Source organism: Homo sapiens, chromosome 17 (assembly GCF_000001405.40).
Source record: "Homo sapiens chromosome 17, GRCh38.p14 Primary Assembly".
NCBI classification, from domain to species: Eukaryota; Metazoa; Chordata; class Mammalia; order Primates; family Hominidae; genus Homo; species Homo sapiens.
The window spans coordinates 50,759,824-50,769,124 of NC_000017.11; the positions used below are offsets into that span (position 1 = coordinate 50,759,824).

The 9,301-nt window shown below is 47.0% G+C and overlaps 1 protein-coding gene and 1 non-coding gene across 10 annotated transcripts, besides 2 other annotated features; one reads left to right on the top strand and one right to left on the bottom strand.

The window, feature by feature from the left end:
- Positions 1-1,206: 1,206 nt before the first annotated feature.
- ANKRD40CL (ANKRD40 C-terminal like) lies at positions 1,207-7,695 on the bottom strand. 9 transcript variants are annotated; one of them, NM_001411123.1, is made up of 5 exons: positions 7,640-7,695; positions 7,051-7,188; positions 4,342-4,425; positions 3,574-3,734; positions 1,207-1,683 (listed from the first exon to the last, which is right to left on the bottom strand). In NM_001411123.1, exons 2-5 carry the CDS (start codon positions 7,088-7,090, stop codon positions 1,540-1,542), a joined length of 429 nt encoding a protein of 142 aa, NP_001398052.1. In that variant the 5' UTR covers positions 7,091-7,188; positions 7,640-7,695; the 3' UTR covers positions 1,207-1,539. The 9 variants fall into 9 exon arrangements, 6 of the variants coding, with proteins under 6 accessions (NP_001398052.1, NP_001345612.1, XP_024306586.1 ...); NM_001358683.3 differs by lacking the exon at positions 4,342-4,425; XR_002958045.2 differs by lacking the exon at positions 1,207-1,683 and having other exon boundaries at positions 3,573-3,730; positions 7,051-7,695.
- Positions 5,815-5,864: a silencer, noted in NCBI's record as "silent region_8711". NCBI's record gives its function as "represses an Ori minimal core promoter by ATAC-STARR-seq in GM12878 lymphoblastoid cells {active_cell/tissue: GM12878}" and the evidence as "EXISTENCE:reporter gene assay evidence [ECO:0000049][PMID:35858748]".
- Positions 6,165-6,254: an enhancer, noted in NCBI's record as "active region_12389". NCBI's record gives its function as "activates an Ori minimal core promoter by ATAC-STARR-seq in GM12878 lymphoblastoid cells {active_cell/tissue: GM12878}" and the evidence as "EXISTENCE:reporter gene assay evidence [ECO:0000049][PMID:35858748]".
- Positions 7,696-8,826: 1,131 nt separating the features above from the next.
- Positions 8,827-8,907, top strand: MIR8059 (microRNA 8059). Its single transcript, NR_107026.1, has one exon. It is a non-coding gene; the product is annotated as a microRNA 8059 (primary transcript).
- The last annotated feature ends 394 nt before the right edge of the window (positions 8,908-9,301 follow it).

Here is a 9,301-nt window from a genome sequence, read left to right on the forward strand (position 1 = left end):
TGAGAGGCTGAGGCAGGAGAATCGCTTGAACCCGGGTGGCGGAGGTTGCAGTAAGCCGAGATCGCGCCACTGCACTCCAGCCTGGGTCACAGAGTAAGACTCCCTCTCAAAAAAGAAAAAAAAAAAAAGGAGTTATTTACTCAACTCAGATATCATGCCATTTTGTAGATGAGTTTAAAAAGGTGTAAACAGGAAGTGATAGTATGGGACACGTTTAAAAATGAGGACAATTGGCCGGGCACAGTGGCTTACGCCTGTAATCCCAGCACTTTGGGAGGCCAAGAGATCACTTGGGGTCAGTTCGAGGCCATCCTGGCCAACATGGTGAAACCCCATCTCCACTAAAAATACAAAAATTAGCCAGGTGTGGTGGCACATGCCTATAGTCCCAGCGACTCAGGAGGCTGAGGCAGGAGAATCCCTTGAACCCAGGAGGCAGAGGTTGCAGTGAACCGAGATCGCGCCACTGCACTCCAGCCTGGACGACAGAGCAAGAATCCCGTCTCAGAAAAAGAAAAAAGGGTTGGGGGACCTGAGCACAGTGGCTCACACCTGTAATCCCAGTACTTTGGGAGGCTGAGGCGGGTGGATCACCTTAGGTCAGGAGTTCAAGACCAGCCTGGGCAACATGGTGAAACCCCATCTCTACTAAAAATACAAAAATTAGCTGGGCGTGGTGGTGTGTGCCTGTAATTCCAGCTACTTGGGAGGCTGAGGCATGAGAATCGCTTGAACTTGGCAGTGAGCTGAGATCGTGCCATTGCACTCCAGCATAGGCAACAGAGTGAAACTCTGTCTCAAAAAAAAAAAAAAAAAAAAAAAAGGCGGAGTGGGGGCGGACACTGATAGAACTTGTGTTGCCAAGTGGGTCCTGGCTTTCCTAGCACCATCAGCTCACCCTGCCCATGTGGGTTGACCTGAAGAGACTCTGGCCATTTGTCCTGACTGAATCTTATAAAGCATACATCAGGATTAGGGCACAACTCTACAAAATAAACTGCCCTTGGTGTAAGTATCATACCTTGTGATGTTTTTTATAGCTATTTGTCAAAACCCTAAACTTAACTCTTCTCCCAGCCCAGAGAAATTGGAGATGACGAAACATAATAATTTCTCACAGTTCAAACATGAAGTTAGCCAAACTGGTATATGCATCCAGACTTCATTATTTGTGAAATAATGATTTCAGTTTTTTAATTCCTGGGATTGATTATTTATTTATTTATTTATTTTGAGAGACAGAGTCTTGCTCTGTCGCCAGGCTGGAGTGCAGTGGCGCAATCTCAGCTCACTGCAACCTCTGCCTCCTGGGTTCAGGTGATTCTCCTGCCTCAGCTTCCCATGTAGCTGGGACTACTACAGGTGTGCGCCACCACACCTAGCTAATTTTTGTATTTTTTTTAGTAGAGACTGGGTTTCACTATATGTTGGCCAGGCTGGTCTAGAACTCCTGACCTCAGGTGATCTGCCCACCTTGGCTTCCTAAAGTGCTGGGATTACAGGGGGTGAGCCACCATGCGCGGCCATTCCTGGGAGTATTTAATAAGTCATTTTTGCAGCTTTGCTATCATAGCAGGGCCTTTCTGTCAGAGATGGCACATATTCTGTCAATCTGGAGCTTCCATTTTTCATTAAAATGAGTTCCACTTCCTGAAAGTCCCGCAGTCTTCGAATGTCTTTGTCCTTAATGTAGAAAAGAAATTATATTATGCTTAATAAATTTGAATGTAATAGAAAACCTTAATATTAATATTGTTCAGCATCTTGGGTTCTGAACCCATAAGGTATTGTTTTTTTTGAGACAGAGTCTTGCTTTTGTCGCCCAGGCTGGAGGGCAATGATGCGATCTTGGCTCACTGCAACCTCCGCCTCCCAGGTTCAAGTGATTCTCCTGCCTCACTTGGCTCACTGCAACCTCAGCCTCCTGAGTAGCTGGGATTCAGACATGCGCCATCATGCCCGGCTAATTTTTGTATTTTTTATAGAGACAGTTTTCACCATGTTGGCCAGGCTGGTCTTGAACTCCTGACTTCAGGTGATCTGCCCACCTGGGCCTCCCAAAATGCTGGGATTACAGGTGTGAGCCACTGCGCCCGGTCCCCATAAGATAGTTCTGTATTTTTTTTTTTGAGACAGGGTCTCGCTCTGTCACCTAACCTGGAGTGCAGTGGCACAGTCACAGCTCACTGCAGCTTCAACCTCCTAGGCTCAAGCAATCCTTCCACTTCCACTGCAGCCTCCCAAGTCTACTACACCCAGCTAATTTTTGTATTTTCCTGTAGAGACAGGGTTTCACCATGTTGCCCAGGCTGGTCTCAAATTCCTGAGCTCAAGCAATCCGCCCACCTCGGCCTCCCAAAGTGCTGGGATTACAAGCATGAGACACCACACCCAGCAGATTTTTGTTGTTAAGGTATCTGGAAAGCATGATCATCCCTTGACATGTTAGTTTACAAAGAATATACACTATAAGCCAAGACACCAGTAAGGATTGCCAAAGGAACAGCAGCTCACCACCTGTTATCCCAGCACTTAGGAGGATGAGGCCAGGGGGTTGAGAACAGCCTGGGCAATATAGCCAGACCCATTTCAAAAAAAAGAAATTAATGGAGTGTGGTGGTGTGTCCCTGTAGTCCCAACTACTCTGGAGGCTAAGATGGGAGGATCACTTGAGCTGAGGATTTCGAGGCTGCAGTGAGCTATGATCACGCCATTGCATTCTATTGTGGGTGACAGAGACCCTGTCTCAAAAAAACAAAAAACAAAAAAATTGCCAAAGGAATTTTGAAAGCTTTAAAGAAAAATTTCCAAAGAAATAAGATTTCCTTTCCAAAATTAAAAATTAAGATCTGTATTTTAAATCTGGGAAATATATAAAAATGCAAAACAATTTTTGTTTGCTAATATTTCAAATACTTAGCAAACCCACCCTTTGCTAAGCAAACAAGGATGGGTTTGTGTTTTTTTTTTTCCTGAGGACTATGCCATTTTATGTTAACCAGTCAATTTTGCAGAGATTGGTGGGGCCAAAAGCACTGAACTAAAGCCTTAAATTGGGGAGTCACTTGTCATTCAGAGGTTTGTTTTTTTTTGAGACAGGGTCTAGCTCTGTCGCCAGGCTGGAGTGCAGTGGTGCTATCTCAGCTCACTGCAACCTCCTCCTCCTGGGTTCAAGCAATTCTCCTGCCTCAGCCTCCTGAGTAGCTGGGATTACAGGCACGCGCTGCCATGCCCAGCTAATTTTTGTATTTTTAGTAGAGACGGGTTTTCACCGTGTTGGCCAGGATAGTCTCGATCTCTTGACCTTGTGATCTGCCCACCTCGGCCTCCCAAAGTGCTGGGATTGTACTGGTGTGAGCCACCGTGATCGGACCATTTAGAGGTTTTTAAAAGGTTTATGGATTAGATGTGCAAATCTTAAAAGCGCCAGATTGAAAATGACCTAGCTACCATGTTTGGCCGTTTTGCAGCCAGGATTTCTGGTGTCATGAAATGCAGAAGTGTAAACGATTGGCTCCAGAGAACATGATGTCACCCACTGTGATTCTGCATTTAGAAACTCTTAACCCTTACCTTTCTGAGCAGTGTGTTTGGTAGCTTTCTGATCTTCTCCACTCGTTCTGGTTTAATCCCCAGTTCACAGCAACTCACGTTTAGTAGGTTTTGGTAACTCAGTTCTTGTCTCTTCAGTTCAATTTCAATGAAGTCATTTTCTTTGGGGTTCTGAATTCTGACTTTAAACACAAGCTCTAAATCACCCATAAATTCAAATACAGTTTGTAAAGGAAACAAAATACCTGTCAGAGATTTTCATATCTATTATTACAGCATAAATAATCCTAAAAACTGAATGTTAAGTAGACATGGAGCTTTCATGGGCACATACACACTTTGCATTAGCTGAGGGTTCTTTTCTTGGAGTGTTGGGCAAGCTCTGGGATGTATGCCCCCATTATATCCACTGAAGACAGAAAGCTTGCAGCTTTAAGCCAGCCAAGGATTTAAAATATGCAATGGATATTTAAACACATCACCCTTGGGCAATACATAGCAGGTGCTCATACCTTGTTGCTTATCTGGAAAGCTTCAGGGAAATGTATAGCCCTGGGGGCCCTGGTGTCCTTAAAGAAGCTATTGTGCAGAGGAGCAAATCGCTCTTGAGATTCCTACCCACCACCCCCACTCCTCCAGAAATAGGATAATTCTACCATCTTTCAGGACAGTGGCATTGTATTCCAACTTAACTGTCCTGAGAAGATACAGTATGAACTAAAAGTCCAAATGGAAAGCAGATGGTCAGTTTGGCTTTGCAACCTGGTCACATAGGGGCTGAGTCTTCACCTAGACAGGTGTCACTGGGTTTCTTGTTATCACTTGGGTCCGTTGTTGGCAAGTGTGGATTTGTGCCTTCTTGTTTATATTCACCTGGGAATCAGGAAAGAGTTGAGAAGGAGCAGTACCTGACCAGTTGGCTGTCTGCCAGACAAAGGACAAGGATGCCCCACTTCCACTTCCTGCCCTGCAGCTTATCCTCCCCTTCTCAAGGGAAAAGGCAAGTCAGGAAAAGGGCAGTAATGACTTTCAGTCTTGAAGAGTAATTTTCTTTAATCACCACCCAAATCATGAAAAGGAGCTGAGACAGTATTTTTAAATGGTGCGTAATCTGGGGAAGAAATATTTATAATCTCTGTGCTTAGCTCAAGTTTTTACTTAAATATTTTTGGCACAGAGTGCTTTATGTCTTCAGTTCTCTAGCAGAGATACAGTTAGGAGGGTGTCTTTATAAGGAGAAATTTTCTCACCCAGAGGGAAGGGAAAGGAGTGAATATTTAGAGTGCTTTGCATATGCCAGGCCTTTTGTGTATTTCTTTCTTTCTTACAATATCCACTGAACATGTTGAAAGCCTGCTTTGCACCAGGCACTGGGCTAAGCCCTGGGGAAATCATGTTCAAAAATCCCAAAGATGTCTCTGTGCTCCTGGAGTTTGCAGGCCAGCAGAAGAGACAGATATTAATAAATGGGAAATCACAGTTGTCGGGGCATGATGAATGTGAAATACACAGTACTTTGAAAGCATGTTAGGGGTCAAGGGAGGCCTCCATGAAGGTTGATTATTTGAGCTGACATCTGAAGGATGAATAGGCTTCACTAGATCCAGAGGGCAGAGGAGGTGAAGAGCTTTTCACAGGGCCCTGTGGAGAGTTCAGCATGGCTGCAGGGCAGAGAGCATGGGGGGACTGAGTGTCAGACAGGCTGGCAGGGGCCAGTTAGTCCAATTATGTAGCTTCTTGTCACATGAGATAAGATACACGATAAGGTAAAATATACCCTGGATTTTGGAGGCAATAAAAAATTTTCATACTTATATGTTGACATAATGATTTGCATATAGCGGGCAAAGTATATTATTAAAATTAGTTTCACCTGTTTTTACTTTTTAAAACATGGCTACTAGCAATTTTAAATTACATATGTGGCTTGCATTACATTTCTATTGGGCAGCATTAGTCTAGATGAAAGGTTTTGGTCTTTGTCCTAAAACACCACCAAGCCATTCTGGTTTTTAGCAGAGAGCTGTCATAATCAGACTTGCATTCTGGAAAAGAGAAAAGCCTCACTGTCCCCAAAAGAATCCTGTGGGGTATGCACATTATTATTTTCATTTTCAGACAGGAAAATTGAGGCTGAAAGGGGAAGTAGTTTGTTCAGGTTGGTAAATGGCCAGATATGGATGTGACCAGGGCCAACTACATAATTTGCAAAGCCGAGTGCAAAAGGAAAATGAAGAGGAAGCCAATTTCCCCTTCTCACAGCCGCTGCTCTAACCCAGGGCAAATGGGTGACGCCCAGGGTATTGCGACCTCCCCACTTGAACGCACCAACTAGCTGGATGGGGGTGGGTGAGAGTGTCCAGGGCTGCCTGCCACTCCTCAACTTCTGATCCTTGTTTTGCCTGGGCAAAGGTGACAGCGGAATGAGGGACTCTGGCAGAGGGTTACAGCAGTGGTGGGGCTGGTCTGGGTGTGGAGACCATATGTATGAGCTGAGGCTCCAACTCCCAACCCTGGCACATGCTCCATTGTCCCATCGGACACCACTTACAAAACAAGTTCAGGGCTAAAATTATGACACATTTCAAGTCAACAATCACAGAATGTTGAACCCCAAGCCCAGGGCCTTTCTGAATGCAAGGCCCTGGGCAGCTGCACTGATCACAGACTTATGAAGTCAGCCCTGTTTGTGCCACCCTGCCAGATGCCTCCAAGGAGATGAGACGCTCCTGCCCAACTCAGCCCCTTCCCAGGACAGGAATAATGTCCCCTCCCCTAGTGAGCGGGGATCTGCAGTCTTCTCTTTGCCTTTCAATTCTGGGCCCTGGAGGTGGCTCAGGGCTGTGGCTCCTTCTCAGGCAGCCCCTGTAGCAGCTGGGCCCCAGCCCACCTGCCAGTACCTGACCTGATATCGATACCTGATAGAGATACCAGAACCTGACCTGAAACGAGGCCTTCCTGCCTCACTGCTAACTCACCCAACACACAGCCCGAGAACTTTCCCTGCCCTGTCCACTACGTTTGAAAGCATTTTATTCTGTGGTCAATGTGTCAGCTCTGTGAACGGCCAGAGTCTCATAGAGGTCACAAAGCATGCCCTTTGCACTCAGGCAGATTTGGGTCTGAATTCCTCTGCCACTTAGTAGCTTTGACACCTTGGGCAAGTTACATAACCTCTCTGATCTGAAAATGAGGTTAACAATCCTACCTCACCAGATTGTAAGAAGTCAATGAGAAAGTACACAGAAGGTACAACTTCCTAGCAGTTGTGAGCACCAGTAATTGCTGGCTGCTATTATTATTTATTATAGCTATAGACACTTGCTTCCTTCTGAAAGGACCTTTGGTCTAGTTGCTCTGCTCTTCACTACCCCACTGGCAGAGTGGCGGAGGCCACAGGGCACTGCTGGCCACAGCATCACCTGTGTCCCAGCCTTCCCCAGCCCCCTGTCCCATCCTCCTTGAGGACCATGTTGGGAACAGGACTCCCAGACTCACCTGCTGGCTTCTCCCCGATGTCCTGTTCCGGTTCAGCCATGAGTCACCTCTAGTCCGTCAGATGTGCAGCCCCTCTCGCATTTATGCACAAGCTCCCAACCAAATAAAAAGCACTTTCTACAGCCTCAGCACATCTGTCTGCAAGGTAACAACAGTGTGTTCTTGCCAGCCCAGTGAGATAGAGCAGGGTCATTTTTATTTTATAGATAGGGAAAAGGAGGCTGCAGCGTGTGGCATGATTTGCACAGGGTGAGGCCAGTGAAGGAAGGTACTGAAGTAAGGCTCCAGACTCTCTTCTCAGGCTGTCCCCACTGGAAGACGGTGCAGGCCGGTAGTACTCACCCGAGGGAATGGTGCCCTTCGGAGGGGAGGCCAGAGAGGCACAGCAGGCACCCAGCCAGACCCGAGAAGGGGGCCAGGCCCTCTTTCTTGGAAAAGGTTGGTAGCTTCTACACCAGGGGTAAGAAAAACCAAACACTTTGTTTCTCGGTTTGAATGGACTCCTCCTCCCCATTTCACTGTCTTTACTCCCAGCCCCTTCCTCAGCAGCTGTGCATGACAAGAAAGAAGCAGAAAGACCCCTCCATACCTGGGAAAATGACCTTGGTGATGATCCTGGATCCCCTGATTCTAGACATCAAAATGGAGGAGGCAGAGGCTGGAGCAGGAGGTTCAGTGAAGAATGGGTGGGGAGGGTCAAAGTCCCCAGTGAGGCTGCTGCCTCAAAGGCAGGCTGAAGACAGGAGGAGGTGCACAGATAGGAACCCAGATGTTCGGGTAACGCTCACATTTCATTTAACCCTCCAATGACAAAAGACGGGCAAACAGACGGGGCATCAGGGTGGGCCTCAGCATCAAAAAACTGGAGGGAGCTGGCTGGGTGCGGTGGCTCACGCCTGTAATCCTAGCACTTTGGGAGGCTGAGGCGGGTGGATTGCCGGAGCTCAGGAGTTCGAGACCAGCCTGGGCAACTCGATGAAACCCCCATCTCTACTAAAATACAAAAAATTAGCTGGGTGTGGTGTCGTGCGCCTATAATCCCAGCTACTCAGGAGGCTGAGACAGGAGAATCGCTTGAACCTGGCAGGCAGATGTTGCAGTGAGCCGAGATCACACCATTGCACTCCAGTCTTGGTGACAGAGCAAGACTCCATCTCAAAAAATAAATAAATAAATAAATAAATAAACACTAAAAAAAAACCATAAACCAAACAACAACAACAAAAAACCAAAAAAAAAAAAAAAAAGCTGGAGGGAGCTATGGAGATCGCAGCCCCCCGGCTCTCAAACATGGTGTGCATTGAAGTCACCTGGGAAGCTTTAAAAACCGTGGATGCCCAGGTCCCACCCTATAAAGTCTGATTTAGTTGGTCTGGATGCAATCAGAGCCCCAGAACTTTTGAAAGGTTCCCAGCTGATTTCAATGTGCAGCCAAGACTGTGAACCACTGATTTGGCCAAACTGCTTAAAGGAGCAAACAGGGAAAACGAGGCCTTAGTAAGTGAAATGTTTACCACTAGTCACGTGGCCAGCCAGGCACAGGCCTGGCACTGGACCTGGGTCACCTGGCTGCCAGGCCGATGCTGTCTTCCCAGCATGCTGGTGTGTCTTTCTGCAAGAACAGGGGAAGGGCAGGGTGGGGCAATGGAGAGGCGGAAGTAGCAGGGATCCCCTGGCCTGGACTCCTGAGAAAATGCACTTTGGCCAGCCTGGCTGCCAGGGTGTGGTCCGCCATAAAAAAGGCATCCTGAACCTCCTCCCCTGAGTGGGTGTGGCTACAGGTGCAGGGGAACTGTAGATGAAAAGGCTTGGCACTTGAGGGAAAGCCTCAGTTCATTCTCATTTTGCTCACCTGTTCGGTCCATTCATTCACTCACTCCCCGTTCACTGATTCACTCATTCACTCACACGTTCACTCAACAACACTCATTTTTTTCTTATTTAGGGGAACACACGTTCTTCTTTTAATTCATTTTATTTTTTGAGAAGGAGTTTCGCTCTTGCCCAGGCTGGAGTGCAATGGTGGGATCTCAGCTCACTGCAACCTCCATCTCCCAGGTTCAAGCGATTCTCCTGCCTCAGCCTCCCTATAAATAGCTGGGATTACAGCTGTGTGCCACCATGCCCAGCTAATTTTTTTTTTTTTTTTTTTTTTTTAGTAGAGACGGGGTTTTGCTATGTTGGCCAGGCTGGTCTTGAACTCCTGACCACAGGTGATCCACCTGCCTCGGCCTCCCAAAGTGCTGGGATT

What these genes read in the sequence shown, in the direction of transcription:
- ANKRD40CL (XM_024450818.2), bottom strand. Translation starts at nt 7,564, where the DNA reads ATGGGGAGGAGGAGTCCATTCAAACCGAGAAACAAAGTGTTTGGTTTT.